The 22488-nt window shown below is 43.3% G+C and overlaps 1 protein-coding gene across 2 annotated transcripts, besides 4 other annotated features; it reads right to left on the bottom strand.

The window, feature by feature from the left end:
- Positions 1–3199: 3199 nt before the first annotated feature.
- SNRPC (small nuclear ribonucleoprotein polypeptide C) lies at positions 3200–19552 on the bottom strand. Of its 2 annotated transcripts, NM_003093.3 has the most exons (6): positions 19506–19552; positions 19103–19145; positions 14354–14462; positions 9060–9149; positions 6662–6766; positions 3200–3611 (listed from the first exon to the last, which is right to left on the bottom strand). In NM_003093.3, exons 1-6 carry the CDS (start codon positions 19511–19513, stop codon positions 3487–3489), a joined length of 480 nt encoding a protein of 159 aa, NP_003084.1. In that variant the 5' UTR covers positions 19514–19552; the 3' UTR covers positions 3200–3486. The 2 variants fall into 2 exon arrangements, 1 of the variants encoding a protein (NP_003084.1); NR_029472.2 differs by lacking the exon at positions 19103–19145.
- Positions 19202–19959: an enhancer, noted in NCBI's record as "NANOG-H3K27ac-H3K4me1 hESC enhancer chr6:34724875-34725632 (GRCh37/hg19 assembly coordinates)". NCBI's record gives its function as "activates a minimal SCP1, AML or CMV promoter by ChIP-STARR-seq in primed H9 embryonic stem cells {active_cell/tissue: H9 hESC(primed)}" and the evidence as "EXISTENCE:reporter gene assay evidence [ECO:0000049][PMID:30033119]".
- Positions 19485–19654: an enhancer, noted in NCBI's record as "active region_24387". NCBI's record gives its function as "activates an Ori minimal core promoter by ATAC-STARR-seq in GM12878 lymphoblastoid cells {active_cell/tissue: GM12878}" and the evidence as "EXISTENCE:reporter gene assay evidence [ECO:0000049][PMID:35858748]".
- Positions 19865–19924: an enhancer, noted in NCBI's record as "active region_24386". NCBI's record gives its function as "activates an Ori minimal core promoter by ATAC-STARR-seq in GM12878 lymphoblastoid cells {active_cell/tissue: GM12878}" and the evidence as "EXISTENCE:reporter gene assay evidence [ECO:0000049][PMID:35858748]".
- Positions 19960–20717: an enhancer, noted in NCBI's record as "NANOG-H3K27ac-H3K4me1 hESC enhancer chr6:34724117-34724874 (GRCh37/hg19 assembly coordinates)". NCBI's record gives its function as "activates a minimal SCP1, AML or CMV promoter by ChIP-STARR-seq in primed H9 embryonic stem cells {active_cell/tissue: H9 hESC(primed)}" and the evidence as "EXISTENCE:reporter gene assay evidence [ECO:0000049][PMID:30033119]".

Raw genomic sequence — 22488 nt, 5'->3', positions numbered from 1 at the left:
AGCTTTTCCAAAATGTAAATTTCCTAGGCCCTACCCCAGGATCTACTGAATCAAAATCTGGAATCTTCATTTTGAAAAAGGCCCCTTGTGATTCTCATCATCAGCAGTTATAAATTTCTGGTTTAGGGTACCCTCTGCCATAATGTCACTGTAACAACAACCTCAGTTGGCAAAGGTGTTTTGCTTCCGGTTTTTTTTTTTTTTTGAGACGGAGTCTTGGCCTGTCACCAGGCTGGAGTGCAGTGGTGTGATCTTGGCTCACTGCAAGCTCCACCTCCCAGGTTCAAACAATTCTCCTGCCTCAGCCTCCCGAGTAGCTGGGACTACAGGCATGTGCCACCACACCCAGCTAATTTGTGTATTTTTAGTACAGACGGGGTTTCACCATGTTGGCCAGGATGGTCCCGATCTCTTGACCTCGTGATCCACCTGCCTTGGCCTCCCAAAGTGCTGGGATTACAGGCGTGAGCCACCGCGCCTGGCCACTTCTGTTTTTTTAAATAGGTAATGACTCAATATAAAAAAAGTGACAAGCCTTTCTCCCCTCATATCTATCCCACAGCCACCCACTTTATCTTTCATGAGTAACCAGTATTATCAGTTGCTTCTTTGTCCTTGTAGAAACCATTATACATACACAGGCAAATACAGATATTTCCTTTAAAAAAGGATAGCCGCGGCCCGGCGCGGTGGCTCACGTCTGTAATCCCAGCACTTTGGGAGGCTGAGGTAGGCGGATCACGACGTCAGGAGATCGAGACCATCCTGGCTAACACAGTGAAACCCCGTCTCTACTAAAAATACAAAAAATTAGCTGGGTGTGGTGGCGGGCGCCTGTAGTCCCAGCTACTCAGGAGGCTGAGGCAGGAGAATGGCGTGAACCTGGGAAGCGGAGCTTGCAGTGAGCCAAGATCGTGCCACTGCACTCCAGCCTGGGGACAGAGCGAGACTCCGTCTCAAAAAAAAAAAAAAAAAGGTTGCCGTAAACAATACATTGTTAGGTGAACCAATGTGTAGAACAACGTGTATCTTGGAGATCGTTTCCTATTGGTACACAGAACTTCCTTATTCTCTTTTAACATGCATAGTATATGGAACTGTGTATTGATGCATGTATATGCAACATAGTATATGCAACTGTATTATACTTAAATCAGCCCATCATTGGACATCTATATTATTTCCAATCTTTTGCTGCAATACATAATACACATATGTCAGTCATTTCATACATGTGCAAGTCTACCTGCAGGATAAATTCCTAGACATGGAAATACTAGGTCAAAGATACAGGTATTCTAATTCTGATAGATACTGCCAAATTGCCTTCCCAGAGGGTATAATAGTTTTCATTCCCACTTGCAATATGAGAGAGTTTTAAGGTTTTTTGTTTGTTTGTTTTTTCTCGAGACGGAGTCTTGCTCTGTCACCGAGGCTAGAGTGCAATGGTGTGATCTTGGCTCACTACAACCTCTGCCTCCTGGGTTCAAGCAATTATCCTGCCTCAGCCTCCCGAGTAGCTAGGATTACAGGCGTGCACCACCACATCCAGCTAATGTTTTGTATTTTTTAGTAGAGACGGGGTTTCACCATGTAAGCCAGACTGGTCTCAAACTCCTGACCTTGTGATCCGCCCACCTCGGCCTCCCAAAGTGCTGGGATTACAGGCATGAGACACCACGCCCAGCTGAGAGTTTAAGCTTTATACTTCACTGAATATGAACAGTGCCAATGGCTTCCTTTCTAGATGCTTCCCTGAAAATATGCTACTTTTACAGCCTAGTTATGTAACAAACAGGATTCTAAAAACACATTCTGAGACAGGCGCAGTGGCTCACCCCTGCAATCCCAGCACTTTGGGAGGCCAAGGCAGGAGGATCACTTGAGCCCAGGAGGTCAAAGCTGTAGTAAGCTATGACTGAGCCACTGCACCCCAACCTGGACAATAGAGTGAGACCCTATCTCAAAAAATAAACAAATAAAAGCACCTTCTGTAACACAGAAATCTGTGTAATTTTACCAATGCTACAGAAAGTTTTCAGGCCAGGTGTAGTGGCTCACGCCTGTTATCCCAACACTTAAGGAGGCTGAGGCAAGAGGAATGCTTGAAACCAGGAGTTCCAGAATAGCCTGGCCAATATTGTGAGACACTATCTCTAATTTAAAGTTGTTTGGGTTGTTTTTTGTTTTCTGTTTTTTTTTTTTGAGATGGGGTCTTGTTCTTGTTGCCCAGGCTATAATGGTGCAATCTCAGCTCACTGCAACCTCTGCCTCCCAGGCTCAAGCGATCCTCCCACCTCAGCCTCTAGAGTAGTTGGGACTACAGGCGTGTGCCATCACACCCAGCTAATCTTTGTATTTTTTTGTAGAGAGAGGGTTTCCCTGTGTTGCCCAGGCTGGTTTCAAACTCATGGACTCAAGGAATCCACCCACCTCAGCCTCCCCAAGTGCCGGGATTAGAGGCGTGAGCTATCACACTCGGCCCTTAAGTTATTTTGTATTGTTATTATTAGTAGTATTTTTGATTATTATATTATTATTTTTGAGACTCTGTCGCCCAGGCTAGAGTACAGTGGCACGATCTCAGCTCACTGCAACCTCTGCCTCCCGGGTTCAAGTGATTCTCCCACCTCAGCCTCTTGAGTAGCTGGGATTACAGGCATGTGCCACCACGCCTGGCTAATTTTTTGTATTTTTAGTAGAGATGGGGTTTCACCGCACTGGTCAGGCTGGTCTGGAACTCCCAACCTCAGGTGATCTGCCCTCCTCGACCTCCCAAACTGCTGGGATTACAGGCGTGAGCCACCACGCCTGGACTTAAAGTTATTTTTTAAAAAGGAGAAATTTTTCAGATTATTTGAGCCCAAGAAAGAGGGGAGCTGAGAGAAAGGAGAAGCTGAGGTTAAGGCAATTCTTTCCATTCTTGGCTGACATGCACACGATGGGAACTATTTTCCCTTACTTCAGCATAAAAGACTTAAAATTTTCCACTTACTATACAAAGTGTTATTCATGTGAAAAATGAACCAAGCTGTTTATTATTTTAACCAACAAAAGCTCTGCAAGTGCTAGATTTAGTGCTGTACAAGATGACTTTACTAATAAAGGGAGGATGCCCAAAGAGATTTACCATTAGCTAAGAAAAAATAATCTCACGCAGAGGATATGCTGAAGAGATAATGAGCTAGAGAAACAGAACTGGAATGTTTCATTTCTTTTATAATACACAGAGAACACAGAGAGGAGGAAAAAGGGAACACACTTTTAACTGAAAGAGTTGACAATTTTATTTTCACATTTCCCAATACAAAGGAAAACTGCATCTTTTTTGTCCCACTTCTCCCCTCCAAAACTATTCTCTTTCATAGGACAGGGGAGCAAGTCTTCCTTATGCTGTTTAGAAAACTCAGTATCACAGCAGCATGATCTCCTGGTGAAGCAGAACAGGTAATATAAAACCGATACAATAAGGCCTCCCCTCTATCCTTATCTGTCTGGTCGAGTCATTCCGGGCCGAGTGGGCACCATCATGGGACGGGCAGGAGGTCTCATCATTGGGGGCCCAGGCATCATTGGCATATGGCCTCCCATGGGCGGCCTCATTCCAGGAGCTGCAGGACAAAACAAAGAAGAGGGAGAAAAAGGGAGTCAGAAAATACGATTTAGGGAGAGTTTGATGGGACTTCAATTAAAAACAAAAAACGTAGCCCCCCTTGCAAAATGCTGGAAAAAAGACACACGTGACAGAAGAAATGCAACAAATTTATCACATCTGTAAATTACTTAGACATTCTCAAACAAAAAACAAAAAGGTCAACACAAGAACCATATGGGAATCATGATCTAATGATAGTAAGGGGGAAACTATTAATAGACTGCTTTCCAGAAATCGCCAGGGACACTAGTTCCCTAAACTGACCTTTTTTTCTCACTCAGGGAAATTCACAACTAAGTCACATGTTTTTCAGTCAGCTCTTTTAATCAGTGTTATCCACCATATAACCAGGAGCTATTTCATGAATGTACACAGGCACAGAGGACAATCTTACCACTAAGCGTTTGTTCGGAGTTGTAGGAAAGGTGAGCAGGAGGCCCATGCTGAGAACCTGTTAGTAACCATACTTAGCTCAAGTCAAGAAAAATAATAGGCAATAACGTGATTTATAACAATTAGCGCACACAAAAATCTGATTTTTCTAATGCATTTCAGAAACTATTAATGAATTTTTTTAAGTGTCCCATCAATAAACCAGCCAAATAAATGAGCCAGGGAGGGGAGGGCAGGCAGAGGGGTAGGGGAGGAACACAGGTAGTTTCAATGGAATTGATAATGTTCTACTTCTCAGCTGGGTGGTGGGTTCATGGATATTAATTTTACTATTACGCCACATAATTTCACGTTATCTATATTCTTTTTAAATATCAAATCTTACCAATTTATTTTTAACTAAATAATTTTGATTAAAGGTTTGCAGCAAAGGGTTCAAGAGAAAACCATATTCAAACTTGAATATAGCCTTATCACAAATGGTGAAACACAAGAATATGCAAAGACACAAAATCCAACAGGTACAGAATTTAAGACCAATTTAAACAGGAACAGAGAATACTACTAACTTCTAAATACGACATAAAAGCCCATGCTTAACCTATATTGAAGAATTTCTTAGAGGAAATGGATGGACATAGACCAAAGACTAAAAACTGGAAACTCGTTTTCTTTAGTCTCCATAGTGAATTTACTTTGAATCAGTTGACAACATTGGGATTTCATACAAAAGTCTAGATTCCTTTTTTCTTTTAAACTTTTTATTATGGAAATGTTCAAACATACACAAGAATAGTAAAGAAGAGTATAATGAACATCCATGTATCCATCATCCAGCTTCAACAATTATCCACTCATGGACAACTTTATCTATACTCCCCACCCATTCCTATCCCCGTCCACCCTCTAATTACTCAATTATTTTAACACAAATCCCACAATCTTATCATTTTATCCTGGTTTGAAAAAACAGAAAACAAAAAGCAAACTCAGGAGAAAAGGCAACACCAAGCCTGTATTCTCAAATGTCAACCATAGGCTGAAGCTGAGTTCTAGAAGACTTCTTTAGATGAATCATGCATTCCCCAGTTCACCACATCCCTAAAACCTCTAAGAATTTGAATTTGTGAGCCTGGTTTAAGGATGCTAAAGCCATTGAAGTCATTTGATTGTGTTTTGGGCTCACAAGTCAGTAAGGCAGGAATTCTCTTTATCTACACTCTCCCCCTCCTCTAAGTGATACCTGCAGCACACATACTGATACTTCTGCCTAGGAAGCTACTCTAGTAACTTTGCAGCTTGTTTTTCCAGAAGAGTTGTAGGTGTTGGTCACATCTGTTCCCAAACCTGATTATGTCAGTTGTAGTTATTACTCCAATTATATATATATAATTTTTCTGCAAACCAATTAAATGAGTGTGAAAAGAGAATAGCTTCTATGAAAACTAACTTAATACTTAGGAAGACTCAGATAAACTATCACCAAAAAATGCTCAACAATTTGGTAGGCAAAGTAATCATAAAAGATTGGAACTAGATTATATCACAAGGTCTCAGACCACTTCAAAGAAATGAAACTAAAGTTGGTGGAGGATGTGCTATAGTTATGGCTTGCTGGTTTATGCAATAAATATACAGTGTTCCAATCATTAGACACACTTTTTTTTTTTTTTTTTTTTTGAGACACAGTCTCACTCTGTCACCCAGGCTGGAGTGCAGTGGCACAATATCAGCTCACTGCAACCTCTGCCTCCTGGGTTCAAGTGATTCTCCTGCCTCAGCCTCCTGAGTAGCTGAGACAACAGGCGCGTGCCACCACACCTGGCTAATTTTTTGTATTTTTAAGTAGAGATGGGGTTTCATTGTGTTAGCCAAGATGGTCTTGATCTCTTGACCTCGTGATCTGCCTGCCTTGGCCTCCCAAAGTGCTGGGATTACAGGCATGAGCCACCGCGCCTGGCCTAGACACACTCTCAAAGCAAAGGTCCTGCTCATGTATCAGAAAGATTTGCAAATTAATGTATGTTTAAATTTACATTAAAATAAAATGTTTGAAGTGTAAGTTTTTTACGCCTCCCTAAATAAAAAAACAACTACCAGGCTGAAAGCCTTTTTAATATAATGATGTGGCCAAGTTAAACTGCAAGATTAAACAAGCAACAAGAAGTGGCTCTGCTCCAAATCAAAACTGAGAAAATGTATCTATAACCTTCCCCCTTCCCACAAAATGGAACAAGCTCATCTACCCTTCTCTTCAGTATAAATGGCCAAAAGCCAGGATGAGGCAAGGAAACAGAAGAGAGGAAAAGAAAAACAGAAGCAACCTATCCTGCTTTTAGTAGCACGAGGTCACTGGACACCATCCAATTATAATGATAAACCAAGTATTTCTTTTTCTTTATCATTAATAATTGACCAAATTTAATTTGTTACAATAGTACATTTAGACAGCTAATTAGATAATTTATGTAAATATTCCACCCTCAGAGGTGGAGCACAACTCCCCATTTTCAAGCTTTGGCTACACATACTGACTTCCTTCCATTAAGTGTCAGCTATGCATAGTAACTAAACTAAATGGAACAAACTAGAAAGACAGACATTCAAACTTACCAGGTCCCACTGGCATCATCCCAGGAGGAGGAGGGCCCATCATTGGCATCATGGGAGGGCCCCCCATATGGGGTGCTGGCATCATACCAGGGCGAGGAGGACCCGCTGAAATAAAGAATGGAGCCTGTGGTTAAGGTGTGCTCACATATTAACATTTTCTCTTCTTTTTTTTTGAGACGGAGTTTCGTTCTTGTTGCCCAGGCCGGAGTGCAATGGCACAATCTCGGCTCACCACAACCTCTGCCTCCCAGGTTCAAGCAATTCTCCTGCCTCAGCCTCCCAAGTAGCTGAGATTACAGGCATGTGCCACCACGCCCAGCTAATTTTGTATTTCTAGTAGAGACAGGGTTTCTCCATGTTGGTCAGGCTGGTCCTGAACTCCCAACCTCAGGTGATCTGCCCACGTCGACCTCCCAAAGTGCTAGGATTACAGGCGTGAGCCACTGCGCCCAGCAACATTTTCTCTTCTTAATCAAACTAAAAGGATCTCATGAACTCCTTCAAATTCTGAAACAACAACCCTCTTATGGTCTCTTTTTATAATAGCAGATCCACAAAAATCACAGGCCATAACACATTAATCTATGAATAAAAAGCAAGAACAAGCCTGCCTAGACAGGAGAATAAAATAAAGTCAGATTCCCTAGGTTAAGAAAAAATTGAGATTTTAATTTAAAAAAACAAAACAAGGGGGTGGAGAGGTTGTACCTTCTATAGAGCTCCTGACAAAAAGCTGATGAACTTAAGCCACAAGTATCTAATTTAAGATCCCTTTGTAAAAAATGAAAACATGGTTTTAAAAGATTCTTTGAAAATGCAAAGACTTATATGCAGGGATATTTCTGACAGTATCATTTACAATACCTAAAATTTGGAACAACTTAATAAGAAAATAGTGAGGTAGGCTGGGGGTGGTGGCTCAAGCCTGTAATCCCAGCACTTTGGGAGGCCGAGGCGGGCAGATCACAGGAGGTCAGGAGTTCGGAACCAGCCTGGCCAACATGGCAAAACCCCATCTCTACTAAAAATACAAAATTAGCTGGGCAGGAGAATCACTTGAATCCAGGGAACCCAGGAGGCGGAGGTTGCAGTGAGCTGAGATCGTGCCACTGCACTCCAGCCTGGGCAACAGAGTGAGACTCTGTCTCAAAAAAAAAAAAAAAAAAGAAAGAAAGAAAATAGTGAGGTAAATTATGGTAAATTCATACCATAGACTATTCCGCTATCAAAAATAATGGAGTTGAGTGCCAGCCAGTCAAGGTAGAGAAGGAGAGAGAAGTAACCTTGGAGTTGCTATGGGCTGAGGCCTGACCAGGTCCTAGGATGGCAGGTGCCCAGAAAAGGTTTGCCAGGGCATTAGTGGTCCACCTACATTAGTGTGCAACTATTACAAACAGTCTACTTCCCTGGGTTTATACCCGTGATTGTGTGCAAGATTGAGTCTAGGTCCTGAATGTGATTTCAGTCTGACCCCTCCCAGGAGAGCTACAGTACAGTACGACCCAGTACAGCACTCAGTCTCCTCTTGTCTGTCACACAGAAACAACAAACTTTCCCAGAAAGCTGGGCCCATGATCCACTCCACTTTCAATGATCTAATTCTTACCTTTCCTTCTTTTCTTTTCTTTTTTTTTTTTTTTTTGAGACAAAGTCTTGCTGTATTGCCCAGGCTGGAGTACACAGTGAGGTGATCTCAGCTCACTGCAACCCCCACCACCCGGGTTCAAGCAACTCTCCTGCCTCAGCCTCCTGAGTAGCTGGGACTACAGACGTGCACCACCATGCCTGGCTAACTTTTGTATTTTTAGTAGGGATGGGGTTTCACGATGTTAGCCAGGCTGGTCTCGAACTCCTGACCTCAGGTGATCCACCCACCTCAGCCTCCCAAAGTGCTGGGATTACAGGTGTGAACCACCACGCCCAGCCTAATTCTTATCTTTCTAAGGTATAGATTTTGGTGTTAGGTGGGTTAGAAAATAGGGCAAAAGACTAAGGAGTTTATCAGCTATTTTAATCCTCCAGTGCTGGGCTCATAGCAGTAAATAATTTAATGTACCTAGCAACTCCTATTCATGTATTAGCTCATCTAATCACAGGTTCATTCTGAGCTTTCTTTCCATTTAAATCTGTCTTAGATCCACACTTGGGATTCCACAAATACAGTATCTTAGTGACAATGCAATCAAAAGTTAACTCTAAAGTTATTTTAGAAATTATACCACTAAAGTTGTTTTCTATTACTACCTGCATCTATATTCAACATTTATATATTTATACATTTATATTACTATCTACATACAAATGCAACAGCATTTGAAAGCCAACGGTGAGATAATCTAACCTAATCAAAGGATAGCCTGCCCCGTCACACCCCTTAAGATTAAAAGTTTAAACTTACGAAGGCTGGGGGGAGGTGGTATCATCGCCCCTGCAGGAGGAGGAGCAGAGAATGGAGTAGGAGGTATCTTTCCTTGTTGAAATGCAGCCGCTTTGGAGGGTGAGGAAAAAAAAAAAAAAAAAGATGAATAAGAATTCAACAATCCAGTAACTAAAATAACCACTTTCTTTAAGTCTTCAACGGTTCCAATTACTTTACTCTTGCTAGTTGTCATCTAAAATTATTACATCATGGTTCTACAGTTTTAAAATCATTTTTAGGTATTCACCGGCTAAAAGTGCAGTTAATTGGTTTATTGATTTATGTTTTCTACTTAGCATTTCTATGGCTAAATTAAATATGGGAGACTGGAGCAAAAATTTCCTGCTTATCAATGTCTTCTTTTTGAGACAGAGTCTCACTGTCACCCATGTTGGAGTGCAGGGACACAACCGCAGCTCACAGCAGCTTCGACCTCCCGGGCTCAGGTGACCCTCTCAATTCATCCTCCCGAGTAGCTACAGGTGCATGGCACCACACCTGGCTAACTTTTTATTTTTTATAGAGACCGGGTTTCACCATATTGCCCGGGCTGGTCTCAAACTCCTGAGTCCACGCAATCCACTCACCTCAGCTTACCAGAGTGCTAGGATTATAGGCGTGAGCCGCCATGCCTGGCCCTATCAATGTCTTTTACCAAAGAGGAACAGTCATCTTTAATCTATAGATGTAGTTTATAACCAATTCAAGCCATTCATAGTTTTGTTTGAAAAAGTGTAATACGTGCCCAAAAAGCTAGGCTTTATAAAATTTCTATCCTTCCTATGTATGCTGTCCTAGGTCAAAATAATACACCATGTTGGTTTACCAGTTTGGAAATCGATGCACTAAACTAGGATATTTAAAACATACAAAGATTTCAAACTATAAGCCTGCCCCAAAAGAGATTATGATTTTTAAGAAAGTCTAATGCAATCAATTTAAAAATTTTTTTTTCAGATGAAGCACAAGAGAAAACAAGAGAAACTGAAGATCATCTATATTTAGTGTTAGAAAAGAATCACAAATAAATATTAAAATACACACTCATAAAGTCTATTCCTGACATAAGCTGTCTACAGCCCATCCCACTCCACTCCCACCAATGCAAAGGAAGTCAAATTACTCATCAATTATTGATAATTCATGGGATCAGATCCAAAAAAAGTGACCTAAGTGGAGATTCATGAATAGCTTATTATCCATATGCCTCTGAATAAAGCCTGTGCGATCTCAGGGATTACACCCCAATATGGACTTTTTCAATCAAAAAGGCCTCTCTCACATCCTTTGTAAGAGGACAGCTTGTAAAGCCTGAAGTGGGGGAAGCAAAGTCACTGACTTAGTAGCAGGCTCTATGTCAATATAATCATGGATTTCATAGGTGTGTCCCTGAGGGGCTCCCCCCCATTCTCAAAAAGTCCTCCACTAAAAATGTTTATTCTGACTAGCCTTAAAACAAAAACAAAAACGTGTATTCAAGCCGAGTGCAGTGGCTCCTGCCTGTAATCCTAGCACTTTGGGAGGCTGAGGCAGGAGGATCTCTTGAGCTCCAGAGTTAAAGACTAGCTTGGGCAACATAGTGAGATCCCGTCTCTACAAAAAATAAAGATTAGCTGAGCATGGTGGTGTGCACCTGTAGTCCCAGCTACTTGGGAGGCTGAGGCAGGAGGAATGCTTGAGCCCAGGAGTTCAAGGCTACAGTGAGCTATGATCAGGCCACTGCACTCCAGCCTGGGTGACAGAGTAAGACTCTATCTCTAAAAAAATTAAAATTTAAATAAAAAAAGTTTATTCATCCTAAATTATTTTGCTGCATATGGAAAGTAACTACAGAATATACTGTAAATCTTTTAATGCCAAGAAATTTCTAACATCTTTTCAAATAAGGAGACAAGATTACATCATGGTTTATTTTTTCATATGAAATGGGACAATGGGGCAGGTGTGGTGGCTCATGCCTATAATCCCAACACTTCTGGAGGCCGAGGCAGGAGGATTGCTTGAGGCCAGGAGTTCAAGACCAGCCTGGGCAACAAAGTGAGACACCATCTCTATAAAAAATTTTACAAAATTAACCTGGCATAGTGGTGTGCACCTGTAGCCCTACCTACTCAGGAGGCCAAGACCGGAGGATCACCTGAGCCCAGAAATTTGAGGCTGCAGTGAGCTTTAATGGCACCACAGCACTCCAGTCTGGGCAACAGAGTGAGACTCAGTTCTAAAAAAAAAATTGTGACTGGGCATGGTGGCTCATGCCTGGCCTGTAATCCCAGCACTTTGGGAGGCTGAAGCAGGTGAATACTTGAGGTCACGAGTTCAAGACCAGCCTGGCCAACATGGTGAAACCTCATTTCTACCAAAAATACAAAAAAATTAGCCAGGTGTGGTGGCATGCACCTGTAGTCCCAGCTACTCGGGAGGCTGAGGCAGGAGACTCGCTTGAACCCAGGAGGCAGAGGCTGCAGTGAGCTGAGATCGTGCCACTGCACTCCAACCTGGGCAATGGAGCAAGACTCAATCTCAATAAATAAATAAAATAAATAAATAAATAAATAAATATATAAGATAAATTTTAAAAACTGGGACAATGTCTGAGGTTTGCTCCATAATAATCCAGGAAGGAGAAAGGGAGTAGATGACAATATTCAGTGGCTGTCTCGGCCAGAAACAATTTTGCTTCCCAGGGGCACTGCACAATGCCTGGAGATATTTTTAGTAGTCACAACTGGAGGTTGGTACGGGCATCTAGTTGGCATATGCCAGGGATGCTGTCAAACATCCTGAAATGCACAGAAAGACCCTCACAGCAAAAGATTATCCAGCCTTAAATGCCAACAGTATCGAGGTTGAGAAACTTAGAATAAATGGAACAAGAGTGCTACAGCTGAGCAATGAGAAATGAAGGGTGAGGAAATTCAGAATGGGAGGTTCATTAAGCTTGTCTAGTTTTTTTTTTCAGACAGAGTCTCGCTCTGTTGCCCAGGCTGGAATGCAGTGGCGAGATCTCTGTTCACTGCAACCTCCACCTCCCGGGTTCAAGCGATTCTCCTGCCTCAGCCTCCCAAGTAGCTGGGATTACAGGCATGTGCCACCACACCCAGGTAATTTTGTATTTTTACTAGAGACACGGTTTCTCGATGTTGGTCAGGCTGGTCTCAAACTGCTGATCTCAGGTGATCCACCCACCTCGGCCTCCCAAAGTGCTGGGATTACAGGCATGAGCCACCATGCCAGGCCCCCGCTTCTCTATTTTATTTGAAAATTTCCACAATAGTTTTGCCTTTTTATTATTTATTAATTATTATTATTTTTTTGAGATGGAGTCTCACTCTGTCACCCAGGTTGGAGTGCAGTGGCGCAATCTTAGCTCACTGCAACCTCCGCTTCCTGGGTTTGAGCGATTCTCCTGCCTCAGTCTCCCAAGTAGCTGGGGCTACAGGCACGCACCACCATGCCCGTCTGAATTTTTTGTTTTTTGTTGTTTTTTTTTGTTTGTTTTTGAGACGGAGTTTCCCTCTTGTTGCCCAGGCTGGAATGCAATGGCGCGATCTCGGCTCAACCCAACCTCCGCCTCCCAGGTTCAAGCAATTCTCCTGCCTCAGCCTCCCAAGTAGCTGGGATTACAGGCATGCACCACCACGCCCAGCTAATTTTGTATTTTTAGTAGAGACGGGGTTTCTCCATGTTGAGGCTGGTTTCGAACTCCTGACTTCAGGTGATCCACCCGCCTCAGCCTCCCAAAGTGCTAGGATTACAGGCGTGAGCCACCACGCCCGGCCAATTTTTTGTATTTTTAGTAGAGATGGGGTTTTGCCATGTTGGCCAAGCTGGTCTCGAACTCCTGACCTCAGAGGATCTGCCCACCTCCTCCTCCCAAAGTGCTGAGATTACAGGCGTAAGTAAGCCACTGTGCCCGGACAGTTTTGCCTTTTTATTGTTTTTTAATTTTTAAAAAAATTTTTGGCTGGGCATGGTGGCTCACGCCTGTAATCCCAGCACTTTGGGAGGCCGAGGCGGGTGGATCACGAGGTCAGGAGTTCAAGACCAGCCTGGCCAAGATGGTGAAATCCCGTCTCTACTAAAAATACAAAAATTGGCTAGGCACGGTGGCATGCGCCTGTAATCCCAGCTACTCGGGAGGCTGAGGCAGGAGAATCGCTTGAACCTGGGAGGTGGAGCTTGCAGTGAGCCAAGATCACACCACTGCACTCCAGCCTGGCGACAGAGTGAGACTGTCTCAAATAAATAAATAAATAAAAATAAATAAAAAATACAAATTTTTAATTTTTTTTTTTTTTGAGACAGTCTCACTCTCTCACCCAGGCTGGAGTGCAGTAGTGCAATCTCAGCTCACTGCAACCTCCACCTTCTGGGTTCAAGCGATTCTCCTGCCTTAGCCTCCTGAGTAGCTGGGATTAGAAGCAGGCACCACCACGCCCCGCTAATTTTTATATTTTTAGTAGAGATGGGGTTTCACCATTTGGCCAGGATGGTCTCCAACTCCTGGCCTCAAGTGATCTGCCAGCCTCGGCCTCCCAAAGTACTGGGATTACAGGCATCAGCCACTGCACCTGGCCTACTGCTTTTTTAAAAAGGCACATCACAAAGCCCATATTTGCTTGCCAGCTTGGAGTACAATGAATGATTAAGAAAGGCCGTGATTCAAATATACCAGGATGATCTAAAGTAAAAATGCAATATCTCCTTCTGTTAGTGTCCCGGACCCAATAAGCCAGAACAAAATGTTCCTAACAAAAAGAGCATGGGAGGTACAACAGGGGTCCAAAACATATCCAGACTATTTTGTTACATCAGGTAGTCTCTTTTTGACTAGTACTCTATCAGGACTACAAATAAGAAATCTAAATATAGTCTCAAACTATTTGGGGAAAACCACAAACCCACTCCTCACCTGCTCCTATTAGAATAGGAACATACTTCTAAAACCTGTGGATTACTACAAAGGGGCTTTATAGAAATTTGCTACAAAATCTCGTCTGTGCCAATAGATAAATATTAAGCACCTCCACTCTTCTCTGCCTCACTTCCCCATCTAACCTTATTGCTGTCTCTGACTGCTCTATCCTCAATAATAAATATTAATGTGTTCTTATATCCTTGGGAAACCAATGACCTTCTGCTTCTTTCATTCGACACATCCAAATGCTCCTATTTATCATTCAGAATGAGTTGCCTCTGTGAAAAACACCAGAGACAGGGATAAGAAAGAATAGGACCATTTTACCACAGCAGAACAAGAGATTGAAACATACTTGTTTTGTCAATCAGGCTCTGAGCCTGCTCTTCCATCCATTTCTGATAATAGTCTTTCACATTCTCTTTGTGTTTCCTTCCACTGCAGTGTGTCTTTCTCACAGATGGCTGTAAAATAAAAAGATCATATCAGACGTAGAAACAAATGTCCAACACTAAAAATTTAATAAAGTTTTACCTTTATATAAGTAGCGTGTCTAGTATCAGCAGCATTAGCTGGCTGCTACAGTATTACTTAAAAACATTATCCAGCAACACACTGTGGTAATTTTTTTACTATATTATCTAGACCAGAGGTCAGCAAACTATGCCCCATTGGCCAGCCACTGGCTTTTGTGTTTTAAAAAAAAAGTATTGGAACACAACCACATTTATCTCTATCTATCTTTTTTTTTTTTTCTAACAGGGTCCTGCTCTGTTGCCCAGGCTGGAATACAATAGCACGATCTCGGCTCACTGCAGCCTCAACCATCCGGGCTCAAGCAATCATCCCACCTCAGCCTCCTGAGTTGCTGGGACTAGAGACACAAGCCACTATGACCAGCCAACTTTTTAATTTTTTGTAGAGATGACGTCTCACAATGTTGCCCATTCTGGTCTCAAACCCCTAGGCTCAAGTGATCCTCTCATCTTGGCCTCCCAAAGTGCTGTGAGATTACAGGTGTGAGCCACAGAGCCCAGCACATTTATTTATATATTGGCTACAGCTTCTCTCTACAAGGAACAGTTGAGTAACTGCAGCAAAGGTGGTGGTTGCAGCTACTTGGGAGGCTAAAATGGGAAGCACGTTTGAGCCCAGGAGATCAAGGCTACAGTGAGCCAAGATCACTCCACTACACTCCAGCCTGGGTGACAAAGCAAAATCCTATCTCCAAAATAAAAAAAATTGTTCCTGGCTGGGCGCAGTAGCTCAAGCCTGTAATCCCAGCACTTTGGGAGGCCGAGGTGGGTGGATCACAAGGTCAGATCGAGACCATCCTGGCTAACATGGTGAAACCTCGTCTCTGCTAAAAATACAAAAAAGTATGGTGGCGGGCACCTGTAGTCCTAGCTACTCAGGAAGCTGAGGCAGGAGAATGGCGTGAACCCAGGAGGCGGAGCTTGCAGTGAGCCAAGATCATGCCATTGCACTCCAACCTGGGCGACACAGAGATACTCCGTCACAAAAAAAAAAAAAAAAAAAAAAAAATTGTTCCTTGTCTTCCCAACCACTGCTTACATTAATACAATGATGCCTTAAGCCTAATAACAAAATCATGACTAGCAGCCAGTCGCGGTGGCTCACACCTATAATCCCAGCACTTTGGGAGGCCAAAGTGTGCGGATCACCTGATGTCAGGAGTTCAAGACCACCCTGGCCTACAAGGCGAAACTGTCTCTACTAAAAATACAAAAATTAGTTGGGCATGATGGCACGCGCCTGTAATCCCAGCTACTCGGGAGGCTGAGGCAGGAGAATCACTTGAATCTAGGAGGTGGAGGTTGCAGTGAACTGAGATCATGCTACTGCACTCCAGCCTGGGCAACACAGTGAGACTCCATCTCAAAAAAAAAGACAAAAACATGACTAAAAATCAACCAAAGTCCAAAAATTACAGCACTACTGAATGTTTTTACACATTTCTTTTTTGTTGTTTTTTTTTTTGGTTTTTTTTGAGACGGAGTCTCACTCTGTCACCCAGGCTGGAGTGCAGTGGCAAGATCTCAGCTTACTGCAACCTCTCCCTCCCAGGTTCAAGTGATTCTCCTGCTTCAGCCTCCCAAGTACCTGGGACTATAGGCGCGTGCCACTACACCCAGCTAATTTTTTTTTGTATTTTTAGTAGAGATGGGGTTTCACTATGTTGGCCAGGCTGGTTTTAACTCCTGATCTCGTGATCTGCCCACCTTGGCCTCCTAGTGCTGGGATTACAGGTGTAAGCCACCACACCCAGCTGATTTTACACATTTCTAAGTCCACTGCAGGGATCTGTAAAATCAATCACCATAGACATTTTCTATTTTTGCAAGACATCATTTTAGAAGGAACAAGGGTTCATGACATTTCTCATGAAAAGATATTTATAATATAAAGAAATACTTCTCAGTTCTCTGAATTCTGGCATTAGCAAGAAGGTGAATAATAGGTATATTAAACTATAATGCCAAAAAAGGGCAGAAAGGCACAGCCCCCTCATTAACAATTTCAGAAAATTATGTCGAGGGGTTTTACCTAGAGAGGGGTAAAAAAAGGACTAGGGACCTATAAGGAAGAACTGACTAGCTACTAAAAATACCAATTTATCAGAGCACTCTATTCTAGGACAATGTATGATAATACACAGAACTTGGCCGGACACAGTGACTCACTCCCAGCACTTTGGGAGGCTGAGGCGGGACCGTTTTTTCATGGTGAAACCCCGTCTGTACTAAAAATAAGAAAACTAGCCAGGTGTGGTGGTGCAGGCCTGTAATCCCAGCTACTGGAGAAGCTGAGACAGGAGAATTGCTTGAGCCTGGGACGCAGAGGCTGCAGTGAAACAAGATCGCGCCATTGCACTCCAGCCCAGGAAATAAAGCAAGACTCCATCTCAAAAAAAAAAAAAAAAAAAGATAATATACAGAACTATAATAATGTCTTCAAGAGGAACCACCCAACTTAAATGTTCCACATCTCTATTAATGCTGTACTACATCTGACCATATGTTAGAAAGAATTTCAAATAAGGTGACAATAGAAAAATCACTGGCCAGTTTCTTCCAGCTACTATTCAAGATGATCAAGAATCATAATTTAGACCAGCCTGGGAAACACAGTGAGGCCTCAGCTGTAAAAAGAGTTATGATTTAATCAGATTTCTACAGAGACAGCAAAGCATAGAGCTGCAGTGTTCAAGGTATGGTTCACAGACAGACATCTAAGGGTCTCTGAGACTCTTTCATGAGGTCTGCAAGGTCAAAGTGTTTTCATAATACTACTAAGCCATTACTTTCCTTTTTCACTGTATTGACATTTTCACTGATGATGCCAAACTCCTGGTACTTTAGAATGAATCAAGGCAATGGCAACCTACTGTATTAGTGATCACTGTATTCTTCAACGTATGTACTCATGGGGGAAAAAAAAGCCAGTTCCACTGAGTGTCCTTAATGAAGCAACAAAATTATTAATTTTTATTAAAAACCCTTAAGTTCAATTCTTTTTAATATTCTGAGTGACAAAATGGGAAGTATAGACAAAGCCACTTGTGTTGCATGCCAAAATATGATGCTCTTTCAAGGAAAAGCAGGCATGTAATTGTTCAAATTGTGAGCTCTACTAGCTGCCTCTCTTGAAGTCCTGGGCTCAAGCAATCCTCCTTCCTCGGCCTCCCGAAGTGCTGGGATTACAGACATGAGCCACCATATCCAGCCCAGCTGCCTCTTTGATGGAACACCATTTTTATTTGAGAGTGACTGAGACACAAACTGTATATTCAGACTTCTCAAAAATGAATGGAGTGAGCCTGTCACTTCAAGGAGAGCAATGGAAAGTATTGCCAATGATAGAATTTGAGCTATTAAGCAAAAATCAGAATTTTGGAAAATATTATTTGCCACCATAAGCTTGACAGCTTCCCAATACTTAAAGGTGGTTCTGATTAGATTGTGACATTAATTAACGTGGGTTTTCTTTTCTTTTTTTTTTTTTTTTTTTTTTTTTTGAGACGGAGTCTCGCTCTGTCGCCCAGGCTGGAGTGCAGTGGCGGGATCTCGGCTCACTGCAAGCTCCGCCTCCGAGGTTCACGCCATTCTCCTGCCTCAGCCTCCCGAGTAGCTGGGACTATAGAGTCGCCCGCCCGCCACCGCGCCCAGCTAATTTTTTGTATTTTTAGTAGAGACGGGGTTTCACCGTGGTCTCGATCTCCTGACCTCGTGATCCGCCCGCCTCGGCCTCCCAAGGGTTTTCATTACATAATCAAATGTGTCTACATTTGAACCCTGGCACTAACTCAAGTCAATCAACATTTTCCAAATAACCAATGCACATTACAAAATCATGCATGGTAAAAGATCCACTCAAGTGCTCTTAAGATAGACCACTAAATTTTTTTTTAAGAGACGGGGTTGGCTGGGCATGGTGGCTCACACCTGTAATCTCAGCACTTTGGGAGGCCGAGGAGGACAGATCGCCTGAGGTCGGGAGTTCGAGACCAGCCTGACCAACATGGAGAAACCCCATCTCTCCTAAAAATTCAAAATTAGCCGGGCGTGGTGGCCCATGCCTGTAATCCCAGCTACTCGGGAGGCTGAGGCAGGAGAATCGCTTAAACCCGGGAGGAGCAGGTTGCAGTGAGCCGAGATTGCACCACTGCACTCCAGCCAGGGCAACAAGAGCGAAACTCCGTTTCAAAAAAAAAAAAGTACTAACAAAACATTCTGCTTTAACTGTTGTTATTATTTGACAAGCAGCTTTTTTTGTTTTGTTGTCCAGGCTGGAGTGCAGTGCCTGATCATGCCTCACTGCAGCCTGGACCTCAAGCAATTCTCTCACCTCATCCTCTTGCGTATCTGGGACTGCAGGCACACCACCATGCCTGACTTGTTAAGCAGTTTTTAATCAAAGTTACTGGAAGGGTGGGAAAATAACCTCCAATTATTTTCTTCAAGGAGTAGACCTTAAACCTCAGCAGGTGGGAAAGCACAACTTGCAACTTAAAAAAAACACAAAACTCATTTAATTATTACACATAAGGCTTTTTGAAACTATGAATAGATATGCCACTTACAGAGTCATGGGTGAGGTATGTATCGCAGTAGTCACAATAAAACCTGAAAAGAGGTGAAAGGAAGAGAAAAAGACGACAACCACTGAGATGCCCATCCACGGAAGCGCTGTTCATGGAAGATAAAAACAAAACAAACAAACAAAACAAAAAGCCAGACCGCCTCACGACTCAAAAGCATCAAAGCGTCGACACATAAACCAGGCTTTTTTTTGTTGCCTTAAGCGGGATCCATCTGCACTCTAAAATGGGGTGTCTAGCGCTCTCCATCTCCCTGCCTCCGTCCACCCGGCCCAGATACTCTCCCATCCCTCGAGGTTTCAGAAACCAGAACCCGCTCTCCGCTCCTGCATGGGGGCCACAACTAGTGACTACGATCACCCTCAGATTTCGGGGCCCCACTCACTTGGGCATGTTGCTCTGCAGGCCGTTGGCCACTCCGTTACGTGACGCCCGGAAATGACGCGCACAGCCAGCGACGACACCGCGGAACCCCACGAGACTAGCATGAAGACTTCCGAAGCCCTCGCCTCCAGCAGCCGAGCGAGGGGCGGGGCTTTTCCTTTTCTTCCTTTCATCTATAGGATGGCGGGAAGGAGGAGTACTACGGGCCGCTACGAGGTTCAATCCAAGCTCATTTAATCTTGTTTGTCGGTGCTTCCGGAAGAGCGTATTTAATCTTTCTATAAATATTTAATGATTCTCTGCTACGCGCCTGGAGCTGCTATAAATGCTGAAAAAACAGCAGTGAACAAAACAGATAAAAATTCTTGTCCTTGTGGGGTTGAGATTCTAGTGGAACAAGACAGATACTAAAACCAACAGGAGCCGGCGCCGTGGCTCGCGCCTGGAATGTCAGGTACTCCCGACGCTGAGACGGGAGGATCACGTGAGCCCAGGAGTTGGACACCAGCCCTGGGCAACATAGCGAAACTCTTGTCTCTACAAAAAATTTAAAAACTAGCCAGACTTTGGCCCGGCGCGGTGGGTCACGCGTGTAATCCCAGCACTTTGGGAGGCCGAGGCGGGCGGATCGCCTGAGGTCAGGAGTTCGAGATACGCCCGGCCAACCTGGTGAAACCCGGTCTCTACTAAAAATACAAAAGTTAGCTGGGCGTGGTGGCGGGCCCCTGTAATCCCAGCTACTCGGGAGGCTGAAGCAGGAGAATGGCTTGAACCCGGGAGGCGGAGGTTGCGGTGAGCCGAGATCGCACCATTGCACTCCAACCTGGGCGACAGAGCGAGACTCCGTATCAAAAAAAAAAAAAAAAATTGGACGTGATAGCGCCCACCTGTGGTCTCAGCTAGCTACTCAGGAGACTGAGATGGGAGGATCGCTTGAACCCAGGAGGTCGTGGCTATAGTGAGTCGTGATCGCACCACTGCACTCCAGGCTGGGTGACAGAGTGGTACCCTGTCTCAAAAAAATGGTAAATATTTATAGTAGTGGGTTAGGTGGAGCAAAGTGAAGCAGGGAAGAGGGGAGTCCAACTTTACAGAGGATAGAGAAAGGTTATCTCGTCTTTTTTAAATTTATTTTTGTTTTTGTTTTGTTTTGTTTTTTGAGACGGAGTCTCACTCTGTCGCTCAGGCTGGAGTGCAGTGGCGCTATCTCGGTTCACTGCAAGCTCCACCTCCCGGGTTCACGCCATTCTCCTGCTTCAGCCTCCCGAGTAGCTGGGATTACAGGCGCATGCCACCACGCCCGGCTAATTTTTTTGTATTTTTAGTAGAGACGGGGTTTCACCGTGTTAACCAGGATGGTCTTCAACTCCTGACCTCAAGTAATCTGCCCGCCTCGGCCTCCCGAAGTGCTGGGATTACAGGCGTGACCCACCGCGCCCGGCAGGTAATAATTATTGTAGGATTCAAGGAAGAATTACATGTGAAGATCCTTGTAAGTGTTTAATACAATATACACACTAACCCCTCCACAAAAGGTAATTATTACATAGGAGAAAATTGATAGAAGTAACTTGTCCACAGATATCACCTGTTCTAGCAATAAGGCCAAACTTCCAGCCTGGTCTGTCAGACTCCAAAATGGCCTTCCTCCTTTTAGAAAAGGGAAATATTAGCAAGCGTTGGGACCTGAGGAGAGGGAGTTTTTGTTTTTGTTCTTCTACCCTATGTTCTCTGATGGTAGAATTGCAACCAAATAATAATAATAATTGCTAGTTTATTTGAATGTTTACTATGTCATAGGTTCTTTAAATGCATTGATTTACTTAATCCGTTCAACAACCCTATTTATTCACATTTCAGATGAGGAAACTGACCTTTAGAAAGAGTAAGTACCACAAAGATTACTTCCTGGTCCTAAGGGGTAAGTTAACTGTGCCCCGGCTCTTACCACCATAACACCGTGGTAAATCTTAACATAATGGCAGAACAACCAGATATTATGTGTCTCCTGCTGGGATGACAATATTAAGTAGCTACCATCAACTATGACTTTTTTTTTTTTTTTTTTGAGAGAGGGTCTCGCCCTGTTGCCCAGGCTGGAATGCAGTGGTTCTATCACAGCTCACTTCAGCCTCAACCTCCCGGGATCAAGCAATCCTCCCTCTTCACCTTCCAAGTAGCTGGGACTACAGGCACCTGACACCATACCCTTGTTAATTTTTTTAATTTTTTGCAGAAAAAGGGTCTCAAACTCCTGACTTCAAGCAATTTCCCACCTCAGCCTCCCAAAGTTCTGGGATTACATGTGTTAGTTAGCCTCTATACCCAACAACTATGACATATTATAAAAAATGTTTAGTAGCCACAAAAATTAAAAATAATTTTTAAAAAATGTTTAACTTAGATCTAATCAAGTTAACAGGATAGTCTATAGGATCAGCTAAAGGAAAGCAAAAGGCAGCAAACAAATTCTGGCAGTAGGATGTTGTAAGGACAACTGGCCTCTTTCCTTCACTAATTTAGGAAAAGGTATTTTTCTAAATTTAAATATTAAGAGACATAACAACCAGATGTAGTGTATCATCTACATCTAGATCCTAGTTTGGACAAACCAGCTATAAAGGACATTTTGCAGAAAATGCCTGGGTCTTGATGTTGCATTTCCAGAAACCCACCTTTGTCCAGGTACCTTCAGTTGATTTTCCTCAAGGGAATGGATTCATCAGTTATGTTGTTTATTTTGTTTTGGTTTTTGTTTTTTTCTGAGATACGTTCTCACTCTGTCACCCAGGCTGGAGTGCAGTGGCACTGTCTCGGCTCACTGCAACCTCCGCTTCCTGGGTTCAAGAGATTCTCATGCCTCAGCCTCCCGAGTAGCTGGGATTACAGTTGTGTGCCACCGTGCCCGGCTCATTTTTTTGTATTTTTAGTAGAGACAGGGTTTCACCACGTTGGCCAGGCTGGTCTCGAACTCCTGACCTCAA

This window comes from Homo sapiens, chromosome 6 (genome assembly GCF_000001405.40).
Source record: "Homo sapiens chromosome 6, GRCh38.p14 Primary Assembly".
Taxonomy (NCBI): Eukaryota; Metazoa; Chordata; class Mammalia; order Primates; family Hominidae; genus Homo; species Homo sapiens.
This window is presented reverse-complemented; position numbering and strand designations above follow the sequence as displayed.

Excerpts from the sequence above, each read along its gene's own strand:
- SNRPC (NM_003093.3), bottom strand. Across the intron at positions 14,463-19,102 it reads CATACCTCACCCATGACTCT|CCATCTGTGAGAAAGACACA; the intron begins GTAAGTGGCATA and ends TTTATTTTACAG. Across the intron at positions 6,767-9,059 it reads ACCACCTCCCCCCAGCCTTC|CGGGTCCTCCTCGCCCTGGT; the intron begins GTAAGTTTAAAC and ends TCTTTATTTCAG.